This window comes from Homo sapiens, chromosome 18 (genome assembly GCF_000001405.40).
Source record: "Homo sapiens chromosome 18, GRCh38.p14 Primary Assembly".
Classification (NCBI taxonomy): domain Eukaryota; kingdom Metazoa; phylum Chordata; class Mammalia; order Primates; family Hominidae; genus Homo; species Homo sapiens.
Window position 1 is genome coordinate 79964072 of NC_000018.10, and position 14940 is coordinate 79979011.

Genomic DNA, 14940 nt, shown 5'->3' on the forward strand with positions numbered 1-14940 from the left:
CGTGGTGGCCCAGGCCTGCGGTCCCAGCACTTTGGGAGGCCGAGGCAGGAGGATCACTTGTGCCCAGGAATTCGAGACCAGCCTGGGCAACATAGTAAGATCCCGTCTCTACAAAAAATAAAAAAGATCAGCCGGACCTGGTGGCGCGCGCCCGTGGTCCCAGCTACTGGCCAGGCCGAGGCAGGAGGATCGCTTGGGCCCGGGAAGTCGAGGCTGCGGGGAGCCATAGTCGCCACTGCACCCCAGCCTGGGCCACAGAGCGAGCCCCCGTCTCTGAGAAACGCAGCAGGGGTGACCGAGGCCCATGCACTGCCCGTGCGGAGCGTTTTGGGGGTGTAGGTGGCCGGTGGCGCCCACGGGCCCTCTTGAGTAAGGCGGCTCCGCCCAGGCCGTCCCGGGGCCTCGGCTCGGCTCGGCTCGGGAAGCCGCAGAGCCTGGGGGCGCGGACCAGTCCTCCGAGGCGGCCGCTCGGTGACATTGCGTCCCTGCAGGTGCAGCGCCCGCCTCTCCGCTCCGGCCCCGCCTCCGCCCTGGAACGCAGCGCGCTCCGCCCGAGGCCTCCCGGCGGCCCATACGGGAATCGCGGAGCTTAGCTGTCGCCACCTCGCGCCGGGTCCGCGCGGCCCACGGGACCCCCCACTGACGCCCCCGGCCAGCGGTCCACATGGACGTGCGGGGCCCTGAAGCCCCCGGCGGGCGCGCGCTGCGGGACGCGGTGAGCCCCTCCCCGACTCCTGCTTCTCTCTGGATGGGGGCGCCCCTGCGGTTCTGGGGGGTTTTGAGGTCCTGGGGGGGGAGCCTGCGGTGCTGGGGGTGCCCTGCGGTCTTCGTGGGGCCCTGAGGTCCTGGGGGGCCTGCGATCCTGAGGACTCCTGTGGTCCTGAGGAGTCCTGAGTGCCTGGGAGGCCTGTGGTCCTGGGGGGGCCCCTGAAGACCTGGGGGACCCTGCGGTCCTGGGGGGGCCTGAGGTGCAGGGGGGAGCCCTGCTGTCCTGGGGGACCCTGCGATCCTCGGGGGGCCTGAGGTCCTGGGGGGAGCCCTGCAGTACTGGGGGGCATTGAGGTCGGGGTCAGTGGGGAAACAACTGGGCCAAAGGGTGCCCGAAAGGGGACCCACGAGTGTCGCAGCGCCCAGGGCTCCGGCCTCTTCCGGGAAATCCTCCCGCTCCCCAGGCCTTCCTACTTGCCAAAGAGTTCCAGGCCCACAAGAGGACTGGCTATGAGGAAGAGACCTGGAATCTGAAGGAATGTGTTGGGCGTTGTGCAAACCCTAACGTAAATTTCCTGACAAAGGTAGAAAGCCCTGGCATGGTTCAGAGGTGGGGCCTCCTCCTATGTCGACGGGATTCTAGATTCACACCATGGTACGTGGGGCTCCCTGGGATCTTGAACCCCCAGCTGGGAGAATTTTGTGCTTCTCAGCCTCACTGTTCTCATCTCACCCTGGACACGGTCGCAGGGTGAGGAGTAGATTACACCGTGAATGGTGTGGGACGTCAGTCTGTAAACTACAAAGCAGTATATAAACAGGAAACGCTTTCAGTAGCAATGGTGGTATTTCTGTGTGACCTGGTAAGTAATTTCATAAGAATTCTTGAGGAGCGCAGGGTCACGAGATTTTCTCCTGCATCCTCCTCTGCATGCTTTATGGCCTTGGCTCTGGGCCAAGGTGTGTGATCTCCTGCATTCATGGTGTGTGGTGTGAGGAGGGGGATGGGTCCCTGCCCCGTCTGCACGTGGCCCTCATGATTCCCGCGCTGCTTGTTGAAAAGACTTTCCTTTCCCTCTGAATCCAAAGGCCTTAGCACCTTTGTCAGAAGTCAACAGATTTATGGATGGGTTTATCCCATGATATTTATTTTTTTTATTTTTATTTTTTGAGACGGAGTGTCACTCTGTCGCCCAGGCTGGAGTGCAGTGGCGCGATCTCGGCTCACTGCAAGCTCCGCCTCCCGGGTTCACGCCATTCTCCTGCCTCAGCCTCCCGAGTAGCTGGGACTACAGGCGCCCGCCACTGCACCCAGCTAATTTTTTGTATTTTTAGTAGAGATGGGGTTTCACCTAGTTTGCCAGGATGGTCTCGATCTCCTGACCTCCTGATCCACCCGCCTCGGCCTCCCAAAGTGCTGGGATTACAGGCGTGAGCCACCGCGCCCGGCCTTATCCCATGATATTTAAAATGTCATACGTGGGCCAGGTGTGGTGGCTCATGCCTGTGATCCCAGCACTTTGGGAGGTCAAGGTGGGCAGATCACCTGAGGCCATGAGTTCAAGACCAGCCTGGCCAACATGGTGAAACTCCGTCTCTACTGAAAGTATAAACATTAGCTGGGCCTGGTGGCACATGCTTGTAATCCCAGCTACTTGGAGGCTGAGGTGGGAGAATCACTTGAATCCAGGAGGCGGAGGTTGTAGTGAGCTGAGATCGCGCCATTGCACTCCAGCCTGGGCAACAAAACAAGACTTCATCTCAGAAAAAAAAAAAAACTCATATGCCAACAGTAAATATTTATTCAATTGTCTTACGGTTTATTTTTTCAGGCAGAAAATCTATTTCAGGAACTTCAGGAACATTTTCAAGCTCTGACGGCAACATTAAACCTCAGAAATATCCTTTTCTACCTTTAACAAATGCTGTGATTCTTTCGGACTGGTAGATTATCATGGAGTATCTTTTTGTTGTCTGGTAGTAGTAGGTAATAGTTTACTTAGGATTTCCCAGTATTTACTTCTGTGCTTTTATGTGGCTTCCTGATGTGTTAATTACCCCTCACCTATAGCAAAAGCTGTACCTCCGGCCGGGTGCAGTGGCTCACGCCTGTAATCCCAGCACTTTGGGAGGCCGAGGTGGGCAGATCACGAGGTCAGGAGATGGAGACCATCCTGGCTAACACAGTGAAACCCCGTCTCTACTAAAAATACAAAAAATTAGCCCGGCATGGTGGCGGGCGCCTGTAGTCCCAACTACTCAGGAGGCTGAGGCAGGAGAATGGTGTGAACCCGGGAGGTGGAGCTTGCAGTGAGCCGAGATCGCGCCACTGCACTCCAGCCTGGGTGACAGAGCGAGACTCCGTCTCAAAAAAAAAAAAAAAAAAGCTCTACCTCCTGCTTGACTGGCAACACAGGATGTCTTGTGCAGCAAGTATAAAGGACAAAAACACAAACATATAACACTTCCCAGTGGGGCTTCCATCAGTCCCCAACCGGACAGTGCCCCCTAGACCATAGACCCCACAGAGCATAACACTGAAGCACAGGATCCCAGATACGGCTCTCCCAAACTTTGTTTTGTTTAGTTTAACATCGCCAACTCACTGTTTTGTCTTAGAAACATGAAATCAAACAGAATGAGAATATAATTTTTTTTGGAGTTGGAGCAAATCTAGATAAGGGTCACAATTGCCCCAAGACTTGCCCAATTTGAGCTCATGCTACACAATTAAATATATTCCTTAAATATTGTGTGCTTGCAACTTTTGATTTTGTAAATGGGTTCCCACAGGACAAAAATGAGTCTTAAACATAAAATTAAACCATATGAATGTTAGTTTTTTAGTTAATTTCAGCTGGGTGGTAGTCTATAGTCCCAGCTACTCGAGAGGCTGAGGCAGAAGGATCGCTTGAGCCCAGGAGTTCAGGGCTGCAGTGAGCTGTGATCACACCACTGCACTCCAGCCTGGGGGAAGAGCAAGACCCTACAAACAAAAAAGAGTTAATTCCATTATATTTATTTTTACATACCCAGAGTTTGACTAAAATATACCAGACAATCTCCTGTCCCCAAATCCATGTCCAAGCAAGGGGAGCCACGTTTTCTAAGCTCACAGTTTAAAGGTTAAAGAGACACACTGAGGAAAACTCAGGGAAAGAAGCTGATTTGCATGGACACTAGGCCTGTCGTTGATTCCCTCATTTCAAAAGTTGCATGTGCCATGGGAGGCGGAGTCTCTGAGGACATCCTGGCTGTGCCTCGGCGGCTCTGGACTCCAGCTCTACGCAGAGCGCCTTAACACTGTACTGGAAGAAATGGGAAATCGCATTGAGGACTTACAGAAGAATGTCAAGGACTTAATGGTGCAAGCTGGCATTGAAAATTCTATTAAAGAACAAATGGTAAGGTTATTAGCAAACTATGTCAACCGTTTTCGTATGTTTTGACTGCTTTCATCTTGAAACATACAATCCCATATTTGTTCACTATGGGAATTGCTGCCTCTGTGCTGCATGAAAACTGCTCAGGAATAATAAATTTCCAAATGCTCTCTTCTTTTTTTGAGGTGGAGTCTTGCTCTGTCGCCCAGGCTGGAGTGCAGTGGCATGATCTTGGCTCACTGCAAACTCCACCTCCCGGGTTTAAGCCATTCTCCTGCCTCAGCCTCCCAGGTAGCTGGAACTACAGACATGCACCACCACACCCAGCTAATTTTTGTATTTTAGTACAGACGGGGTTTCACTATGTTGGCCAGGCTGGTCTCCAACTCACAACCTCAGGTGATCCACCCACCTTGGCCTCCCAGTGCTGCAATTACAGGCGTGAGCCACCACGCCCGGCCACACCCAGCTAGTTTTTGTATTTTTAGTAGAGACGGAGTTTCACCTTATTGGCCAGGCTGGTCTCGAACTCCTGACCTCAGGTGATCCACCCGCCTCGGCCTCCCAAAGTGCCTCCTCTGCAGGGCATCTGAGGCCACCCAGTGCAACCCGAACCTCATCAGGGCACTGTAGGCATTCTCACAGCTTCTGATGCTGAATGTAAACATGCCACAAAAGAATGCTAGGATCAGAGGCATGTTTAAAGCCATTAGTAAAAATAACAGAAAAAATGATTCAGAAGCCAGGCGCGGTGGCTCAGCCTGTAATCCCAGCACTTTGGGAGGCCGAGGTGGGCGGATCACGAGGTCAGGAGATCGAGACCATCCTGTGAATGGTGAAAGCCCGTCTCTACTAAAAATACAAAAAAAAAAAAAAAATAGCCGGGTGTGGTGGCGGGCGCCTGTGGTCCCAGCTACTTGGGAGGCTGAGGCGGGAGAATGCCGTGAACCCGGGAGGCAGAGCTTGCAGTGAGCCGAGACTGTGCCACGGCACTCCAGCCTGGGCGACAGAGCGAGACAACATGAAAGAAAAGAAAGGAAAGAAAGAAAGAAAGAAAGAAAGAGGAGAGAGAGGAGAGAGAGGAGAGGAGAGAGAGAGAGGGAGGGAGGGAGGGAGGGAGGGAGGGAGGGAGGGAGAGAGAGAGAGAAAGGAAAGAAAGAAAGAAAGAAAAAGAAAGAAAGAAAGAAAGAAAGAAAGAAAGAAAGAAAGAAAGAAAGAAAGAAAGAAAGAAAAAAAAACGATGCAGAATAGCGCCCACGTTGAGCAGGTCCTCCCACCTGTGCCCACGCGGATGCTTCCCCAGGGATCCTCTGAACCTCCAGGTCAGAAAGCTGGTGAGCCGTGAATTCACCCTGCATTTTAATTTTTGGGTGTGGTCTGTTCAGGTAGGCAGAGATGGCAGTGCTCTGATTCTGCTGGTGGACTGAAGTCCTCATCCCTTCTCTGCGTGCGCTCAGAGCAGAGGCAGTCTTCCCCCAGACACCTAACCAAGTTTCCTGCAGACACACTGGCATCATAACCTTCAGACGTTTATTCTGAAAGTCTTAAAGCAGTATGTCAGTGGCCCCATACTCTGTAGCCTTCTGCCCCTTGCTTTTTTGTTCAGTACTGAGATTCATGTCGACACGTGTCGCTCTAGGTCAGTCGCCAACTGCTGCCTGATAGTCCTCTGATGATTTACTTTATATTTGACTAATATTGTTTCCAAACAATGCTGCACTATTCTTGTCTACTTCTTTGTGTACACGTTGCCAGTTTCTCTAGGGGACTTGGTTATTCTGTACCTAGGGGCTTGTCACCTGCATTAGCTGCCACAAGTAATTTCTGGACTTTGCCTAGAAGCCATCCTGGGGAGATGGGAAATAGAATTCACTAGGTACCCAGAGAGCCACTAGTATATCCAACTTGATTAAAGCACCACAGTGCCACAGACGAGGCAAGGCTTGGCAGCCATGCAGGCCTAGGTTTCAAATTCTTATCCTCTGTTGCTGGCTGTAACCTGGGGAAATCTAAGCTTTAGTTTTCTTCTCTGCCAAATATCTACCTGGTAAGTGGTTGTAAGGATTTAAGAAAATTGCTTGCAAAGCACTTAAGTCAGGGCAAGGTAGACAGCAGGTACATAATGAGATAAACTTGAAATACAGAGTCCAAATCATTATGATTTCAACTGTACTGCAGCCACAAAGCACCAGTGAGAACGTTATTAAAATCAGGGGTGAACATACTTAATACACCTGATAGGAGTTACGGCCTGAACGTTTATGTCTCCCTAAATAGCTGAAGACCTAACTGCAGCATGTCTGTATTTGGAGATGGGGCCTCTACAGAAGTCATTAAGGTTACATCGGTCCTGAGGGTGGGGCCCTCATCCAACAGGATTCGTCTTTCTGAGAAGAGACGCAAGGGGCTCGCCTGCTCTCCCCTCCGTGCCTGCACCAGAGAAGGAGGCCATCGGCAAGCCAAGGAGAGCCCTCCCCAGAAATCACACGGACCAGCACCTTGATCTGGGACTTCCAGAAAACAGAACTGTGAAAAGACAAGTTTCTGTTGTTTAAACCACCCAATCTGAAGTATTTTGTTATGGCAGTCCTGGGCAGACTAATACAATATGCAACACATTTACAATAAATATACAATAAACTTACAAATGTGGAATGTAATTATTTTATCTTTTTCTGGTAACGCCAGTAAAGCTGTTATCCTAAGAGACATAATTCACACATCATCCACCAATTATGCAATTGACAGAATTGTACCATTATCACAATCTTAGGGCACTTTTTCTGTTTATGCCTGCTCGGCTTATGTAAGCACATTTTCATTACATCAAAAATAAAACTGCCCATTAGCTGTCACCTCCTATTTCCCCCTCCCTCCCAGTCTTAAGCAACCACTAATCCGTCTCTATGGATGTGCCTATTCTAGAAATTCCGTATAAATGGAATCACACAATATGTAGTAACTGGCTTTTCACTTACAGTACTTCATTCTGTTTATGACTGAATAATATTCCGTTCTATGGATGGACATTTTGTTTAACCGTTCATCTGTTGATGGACACGTGGGTTTCCACATTTTGGCTTCTGTGTACGAGTTTCTATGTGGACATATGCGTTCAATTCTCCTGGGTATGAAACTGCTGGGTCAAATGGTAACACCATGTTTATCTTTTTTTATTTTTTTGAGACAGGGTCTTGCTCAGTTGCCCAGGCTGGAGTGCAGTGGCACAACCATGGCTTACTGCAGCCTTGACCTCTGGGGCTTAAGTGATCCTCCTGCCTCAGCCCGCCGAGTAGCTGGGCCCACAGGCACGCACCACCATGCCCAGCTAATTGTTCTGTATTTTTTGTAGAGACAGGGTCTCACCAGGTTGCCCAGGCTGGTCGTGAACTCCTGGGCTCAAGCAATCTGCCTGTCTCAGCCTTCCAAAGTGCTGGGATTACAGGCTTGAGACACCTGCACCCGGCCCATGTTTAACTTTTTGACGACCTGCCTGCCTGTGTTACCACTTTGCCACCAGCAGTGTGTGAGGGCTCCAATTTCTCCACATCCTTGCAAACGCTTGTTGCGATCTTTTTGTATCTAGCCGAACTTGTAGGTGTGAAGTGGCGTCTCACTGTGGTTTTGATTTGCACCTTCCTTAACAAGCAGTGATGCTGAGTGTCTCTTCGTGTGCTTCCTGGCCGTCTGTTTCACCTGCTCTGGAGAAATAGCAGGAGTGTAATACTGAGTGTCTGTTACATGCCAGGTACTCGAGGTCACATACACGTTCTCCCTAGCCCCTCATTCCGATACGCTGTTGCACTCTCCTACTTTATACATAGAAAAATCAGCACTTGGGAGATTAAACTGCAGATTTGCATTTGAATTTTAAATCCATTTAAAAAGCACACACTCATTTGTACTGTATGTAAAAAATGTGCTTCATTCTGTAAGTACCCTCCCGTTTCCACAACAGCAATCAATCTCCCGACAGCAGCGAGCCCTGTGCACCACTCCTGTGCCCGGCAGGCACCACGTGCTTCTGCGTCCACATCTGTGTGCAGGGCAGACACTATTATCCGCCTTTACCAAGGAGGAAACAAAGCTCAGAGAAGGTACCCTGCCCAAGGTCACTTGGTGGGGCAGAGCCTGGGTCTGAGGTCAGAGGGCCCACGGTGTGCTCAAGTGCCCCCATCCCTGCCCTTCCTCACTTTCACTTCAGAGCTCGAGTGTGCTGAGACGGGACACGAAGATCCCAACCAACCATCCACACTGCTAGGATGACAGAGGGCAAGAGAAACCTGAGACTGTAATAAGGACATTTTCTTTTCTTTTTTTGAGACGGAGTCTTGCTCTGTTGCCCAGGCTGGAGTGCAGTGGTGTGATCTCGGCTCACTGAAACCTCCACCTCCCGGGTTCAAGCAATTCTCCTGCCTCAGCCTTCCAAGTAGCTGGGATTACAGGCACGCGCCACCATGCCCAGCTAATTTTTGTATTTTTAGTAGAGACGGGATTTCACCATGTTGGCCAGGCTGGTCTCGAACACCTGACTTCGTGATCTGCCCACCTCGGCCTCCCAAAGTGCTGGGATTACAGGTGTGAGCCACCGTGCCTGGCCAATAAGGAAATTTTCTAACTATATGAACTGAAGGGCCATGGCTTCTACAGAAAATATGTTTACATCAAATACAATCTTGGGAAGAATAAAAAATAGCTCTCCTATTCCTTACAGGGAAGGCTATAAACAATATTTTATTGTACTGTTTTTATAACCAGAGTAAACCTTTGGATTCTGTCATGGATTGAATTGTGTAACCGCAAAATTTATATATTGAAGTCCTAACCCCCAGCACCTCAGACTGTGACTTTTGTGGACATAAGATCCTTGCAAATGTAATTAGTTAAGATTAGGCCATGCTGGAGCAGGGTGGGCCCCAATCCAACACAGCTGGTGTCACTACGAAAAGGGGAAATTTTGGACACCAGCACCCACACAGGGAGGACACAGGTGAAGGCAGAGATGGGGCGAAGTATCCACACACCAAGGAACTGAAAATACCACCAGCAGCCCCCAGAAGCCAGGGACAGGCCTGAGCAGATTCCCCTCACGGCCTCAGCAGTGACCCCCCACCCGCGACACCCTGATCTCAGACCCCCGCCTGCAAAGCTGTGAGAGCACACATCTCTGTTAAAGCCCAGCTCGCGGCATATGCTGTCACCGCAGCCCCAGCAAACCAACCCAGTATGCAAAACGCACAGGCTCACAGGATAAACACCTTCGTTTTACTCCAAGGGTAAGAATTAACTTTGACTAGGAAAATCAGTAATCTATTCATTAAGTTTCCTGAGAACAAACAAGTAGGCCTGCTCCTCTCACCACGTGCTTGTTTATTTCGGTGAGTTAAGACCATGTTATCAATTCCATCTCAGAGGTGCTCCAGCCCTGGAGCTTCCTGTATTTTCCAAAGGCTTTAAATAGCTTAAAACGTTTCCATACAAAAAGGGCTCCACGACATTTATCCGCGCAGACTGAGGGCGCCTCAGTAGCGGTACTTGGTGGAGTAGTCCTTGGGGGACACCACCAGGCCGCGGCCTTTGCGGGCCCCGCGGTACACCGTCTCGATGATGTCCACCATCTCCTGCTTGTCCTCCATGGCCCAGTTAATCTTGTTGTTGTTGCCAGTCCCCAAGTCAATCATGATGTGCTTGTTCCTGCAACGAGAAACAAGGGCATCCATTCTCATAGAAGTCTCTTTAAAAAAGAATTCCTTGAAAACAATGCCGTATTTTTCCCACTGTGACAAGCTCTTGTTAACATCACTGAAGAACGCATAAAATCGAGAGTGTATGCCATGATGCAGGAGAATACAGGAAGCAGCTAAATGTGTTTTTAAAGATGCAATGCATTGTCCACCATGCTCTTTCCTGCATTTTTCTGTATTTATTTAGGACAGTTATTCTAAGGGGAAATTAAAAGGTCAAAGGAGGGCAGGCGCAGTGGCTCATGCCTGTAATCCCAACTCTATGGGAGGCTGAGGCAGGAGGATCACTTGAGGCCCGGAGTCCGAGATCAACATGGATAACAAAATGAGACCCCCATCTAATTTGTACTAATTTACCTGATAAAAGCAATGTGTAAGTTTTTCACAGTGCTCTTATGAGCAATGACATAAATTGTATTAAAAGCCCTTCAACTATGAAATGAAGATGACATTTTGCATGTTTATGGTTAGGGAAGTAGATAATTCTTTACTTATCTTTCAAGAGACTAGTTCTTTTCCTCATGAATACTCATGTGCACTTTACAAGATAAGGATATTAACCCTTTGTTGTACTGGCATAAATTTATCCTGGTTTGTTGAAGTTTCTTTTTGAGATGGGGTCTCACTGTCATCTAGGCTAGGGCATAGTGGCAAAATCAACCTCCTGGCCCAAATGATCCTCCCACCTCAGCCCTCTAAGTAACTGGGACCACAGGCACGAGCCACCACACCCAGATAAATTTCTAGTTTTTTGTAAAGATGGGGTGTCCCCATGTTGGCCAGGCTGGTCTCAAACTCATGGCCTCAAGTGATCCTCCCACCTCGGCCTCCCAAAGTGCTGGGATTACAAACGTGAGCCACTGTGCCGGCCTGATTATTTTTCTTAGAGATGCGAGCTATGTTGCTAAGGCCGGACTCAAACCCCTAGCTCCAGTCCCACCCCGGCCTGCAGAGTGGCTGGGCTGCAGGCATACCCCACCTAAAGACTGTTTTTTAACGTTCACTTCCACAAGATCATGCATTTGGCTTCCACCTACTATTCCGTAGAAAGTATTCCCCGTGAAGTCTCTGGTTCAGGAGAGGCAAATCTGATCAGGGTCTGGAGCCCACCTCTGGCCGCCCTCTCATTCTCCATGCTGCAGGCAGGCCCTACATGCAGCATGCACCAAGCTCCTTCTACAATGACTGGGGGCTGCCCGTAGCACCCTCCCTGCAGCCCTATCTGACCTGGGTGTACTTCTTCGGTATTTATATCTCATAAACATCTGCCTCCTTTCACTTCTTCAGAACCCCCTGCTAATTTACTCAGCTGTTTCTATCAGACAACGTCCTATGAGAGTGGGAATCCTGTCTTATCTGACATTAGGCTCCACCACTAGACCACAAACCTGGTGGGGGCTCAAGATATATGTTTGGTGCATAAGTTAACTAAAGTACCGTTTGTCTTAAAATTCTAAATCACAGAAACAGCAGAAGGAAGTTTCATCTCCTTTTCTGAGTACAGCATCAGTCCTAAAAATATCAAACTACACTAAGTAGGCTGCTCCCGCCACCCAAGGCTGTTGCCTGCAGCCTCCTTGCCCCTCACAGCATCTCCAGCCCCAGGCTGGCCTCCACTGCACGCTGTGGGGGGCAGAGACCTAAGACGGCCCTCCCTGTTCTCACCTGAAGAATTCTGAGGGGCAAAATAGAAAAGGCCTCTATTGCCTCGAACAGGCTGTTAACAGAAATATGGACTTCAGGAACACCTGGTGTGGGCTTGGAAGGAAGTGAGGAGTGTGTTACTGGGAAACGGAGAAAAGGGGACCCCCGTTACAGAGTGGCCGAGGAACAGGGACACGGGGTCCGCAGTTATAGGAAGTCAGAGCTCAAAAGCAACACACTCGGGATATTTAGCTGCGGAAACTTCCAAGCAAAGTCTCGGAGGTGCTGCCTTCAAGAGAGGAAAGAGGCAAATTAGTGTAAGAACTGTTAACAAAAGGAATAAATTCTTTAGCCTCTCCGGATGGCCAAAGGGGCTGAAATTCAGAAATGGCTGCTGAACACACAGTAGAGAAAAGGATGAGGGTCAGCCACGCAACCTTTGCTGAAACCTAGGAAAGATGAAAAGTTCACAAGAAATGCAGGGTGCACCTCACAGATCTTCTCAACCTAACAGGAGGCACCTAGGAAGCCAAGGGCGTGTCCAGGGGAGCGTATCCCGACGCCCAGAACCACGGCAGTGCCTCACGCTTTGGCAGCCTGAGGCGGGAGGATGGCTCGAAGCCAGGAGTTCAAGCTTGCTGTGATGGTGCCACTGCACTCCACCCTGGGTGAGAGTGAGACTCCATCTCAATAAATAAATAAAACAAGGTCACTATCCTGGATTATTTGGGCAAGTCTAATCTTATCACAGTCCTCTAAAACCAGAGCATTTTCTCAGGCAGAACTTTTCAGGTCAGAGAACCTGTGTGAAAAGTTCTCAATGTGCCGGCATGCCAGTGCTGGCTTTGAGGGTAACTGGGTCTCTGGCAGCAGAGTGGCCTCAGGTAACAGCAGCAAGGAAGCAGATCTCAGACCCACCACCACGAAGAGCCAGACTCGGCCCACAACCCAAACAAGCCCCTCAAACACTCCAGATAAGCACCCAGCCCATGGTTCAGACCTTGTGAGACCCTGAGCAGGAATCCAGCGGGCCCTGCCTGGATGTCTGACTTACAGAACTGTGAGCTCAGAAAAGCGGGGTGATTTAAGCTGCTCAATGCGTGCTAATTTGTTACAAAGAATACAAAACTAACGCATACCCTATACAACCCACCTGACCTTCCTTACCGAGTAGGAGGCTCCACTTTTGGAGAATGGTCTAATGCTCATGTAGCTAATTCACCAACCTCTATGGTAACTAAACAAGTAAAAACAGCATCAGATGGTGATTTCTTTCCCCATTAAATTTCCATAATGAAATTTTTGAGCTGATAAAATAATCTTGTATTTATAAGCAAAGTAGTTCAGGTGTTCCTCTTGGATATAAAAAAGGACACCGAAGTTGATGATAACATATTTAATAAATTAGGTTTTTGATTTTTTTTTTTGAGACGGAGTTTTGCTCTTGTTGCCTAGGCTGGAGTGCAATGGCATGATCTCGGCTAACTGCAACCTCCACCTCCTGGGTACAAGTGATTCTCCTGCCTCAGCCTCCCAGTAGCTGGGATTACAGGTATGCACCACCACGCCCGGCTAATTTTGTATTTTTAGTAGAGACTCGGTTTCACCATCTTAGCCCAGCTGGTCTCGAACTCCTGACCTTGTGATCCACCCACCTCGGCCTCCCAAAGTGCTGGGATTACAGGCGCTTTGAGCCACTGTGCCCGGCCTAAATTTGTGATTTTACAACATTTTTGATGAACAGATTATAGTTCCAGGTATCTAAAATGTCAGTAACAACATCTTTCATTGAATTACACTTCACCTAGGTTTCCCCGCAAAGTTATTTCAAAAGGGTAATTTGTTACTGAGTAAATGCTAAAACTAGAATTGTTACTTTGAAAATTATTTCAAAGATTCACACTGATTGCCTGGTGATACAAACGATTTTGGGACATGACTGTACAACCAACTTCCTTCAAAATAAAATAATCTAAAGAGATCTTGATTACATTAAGCTTCCAAACTGACAATATTCAATTTCAGTAACAACTTTAAGATAACGTACCTGAAGAAAAACATGACAGTACATGGATCGTATAACTCATACATTTTGTTGAAGTCAGGCACTTCTGTAATATCCACAAGATAAATAACTGCAAAATTTTTAACCTAAAAGGAGATTAAAAAAAAAAACTGAAATAACAGAACACTTTGGCTTTCATTTTATAGAAGCACATTTATAAAAACAAAACCAAGAATTTGTGTGGATCAGGGCAATTTTTGTTTTGTTTTTTTGAGACAGGGTCTCACTCTGTCATCCTAGAGTGCAATGGTGCAATCAGCTCACTGCAGCCTCGACCTCCCAGGCTCAAGCTATCCTCCCACCTCAGCCTCCCAAAGTGCTGGGATTATAGGAGTGAGCCATCACTCCTGGCCAACGGGGCAATTTTCAAACTAATTCTTCAACATTTTTTCCCAGTGCAGCAAACACGCGGGAAGATCATGTGACACTACTGGGACCTTGGCCACCGGCTCCTTCCGCCTCACGCCACCGTTTCCCAGAATAGTTCAGGAATTGGCCGCTGGCTCCTTCCGCCTCACTTTACCATCTCCCAGAATCGCCCAGGAATTAAATTTCACTCAGGTAACAAGTTATCAAAGTCCTGCAGAAAACGTCCACAGACATATTATTTATGCTGATCTAGTAATCATCTGTATGAACCTTTACAAATAGTTACATGCATCTCACAACTGCTCTAAAATATACCTGTAGAATCCTGCCATCATTTCCCCGCAATTAGGTCTGAACACTTGCAAATATTAATAGTACCTCCAATAATACTGCATATAACACATTTTCTGTTATTTTTTCTTTAATTGCAAGTTTATCAGAGATTTAGAAAAGTCAGAAAAATAAAAAGAAAATAAGATCACCTCCAATCCCAACACCTAGGGGTGACTGCTGCTATCTTTTTTCCAGAGACAGGATCTGGTTCTGCTGCCCAGGCTGGAGTGCAGTGGCAAGATCTTGGCTCACTGCAACCTCTGCCTCCTGGGCTCAAGCGATCCTCCCATCTCCGCCTCCCAAGCAGCCGGGACTACAGGCACGTACCATCACACCTGGCTAATTTTTGTATTTTTTGTAGAGACAGGGTTTTGCCATGTTGCCCAGGCTAGTCTTGAACTCCTGGACTCAAGTGATACGCCTGCCTTGGCCTCCCAAAGTGCTGCGATTACAGGCATGAGCCACCACGCCTGGCAATATTTTTACTATATTCTTTCCCCTTTCTTATAGATATATATTTTTTAATTTGTTCATATTATTTCTGTTCAGACATAGCAAAATATGGTCATATTGTGATCGTACTACAATATTTTGTATGCTGCTTTAATTTTGAGCATTCTTTTTTTTTTCTTTTTTTTGAGACGGAGTCTCGATCTGTCGCCTGGTCTGGAGTGCAGTTGCATGATCTTGGCTC

At 48.6% G+C, this 14940-nt stretch overlaps 2 protein-coding genes across 9 annotated transcripts in view, besides 1 other annotated feature; one reads left to right on the forward strand and one right to left on the reverse strand.

Moving 5' to 3' along the window:
* Positions 229 to 798: a silencer, noted in NCBI's record as "silent region_9584". NCBI's record gives its function as "represses an Ori minimal core promoter by ATAC-STARR-seq in GM12878 lymphoblastoid cells {active_cell/tissue: GM12878}" and the evidence as "EXISTENCE:reporter gene assay evidence [ECO:0000049][PMID:35858748]".
* HSBP1L1 (heat shock factor binding protein 1 like 1) lies at positions 572 to 6751 on the forward strand. Its single transcript, NM_001136180.2, has 4 exons — positions 572 to 715; positions 2541 to 2607; positions 4018 to 4112; positions 6369 to 6751. The coding sequence occupies exons 1-4, from the start codon at positions 665 to 667 to the stop codon at positions 6378 to 6380; spliced, it is 225 nt and encodes a 74-aa protein (NP_001129652.1). The 5' UTR covers positions 572 to 664; the 3' UTR covers positions 6381 to 6751.
* Positions 6742 to 14940, reverse strand: part of TXNL4A (thioredoxin like 4A) — a 63124-nt gene continuing 54925 nt past the window's right edge. For 5 of the 8 annotated variants that reach the window (NM_001305564.2, NM_001305563.2, NM_001305557.2 and 2 more), the window contains 2 exons: positions 13527 to 13630; positions 6742 to 9785 (listed from right to left, as the gene is read on the reverse strand). In NM_001305564.2, the coding sequence (NP_001292493.1) occupies positions 9614 to 9785; positions 13527 to 13570 (216 nt within the window). In that variant the 5' untranslated portion in view covers positions 13571 to 13630 and the 3' untranslated portion in view covers positions 6742 to 9613. Of the gene's footprint in view, positions 9786 to 12646; positions 12717 to 13526; positions 13631 to 14940 lie in introns of all 8 variants that reach the window. The other 3 variants (NR_131176.2, NR_131175.2, NR_131177.2) reach the window with 2 other exon arrangements.

Bases quoted from the DNA above. Each gene is read 5' to 3' on its own strand.
- HSBP1L1 (NM_001136180.2), top strand. From the start codon at position 665: ATGGACGTGCGGGGCCCTGAAGCCCCCGGCGGGCGCGCGCTGCGGGAC. The intron at 716-2,540 runs GTGAGCCCCTCC...TTATTTTTTCAG, and splicing joins GGCGCGCGCTGCGGGACGCG to GCAGAAAATCTATTTCAGGA. The intron at 2,608-4,017 runs ATATCCTTTTCT...TTAACACTGTAC, and splicing joins GGCAACATTAAACCTCAGAA to TGGAAGAAATGGGAAATCGC.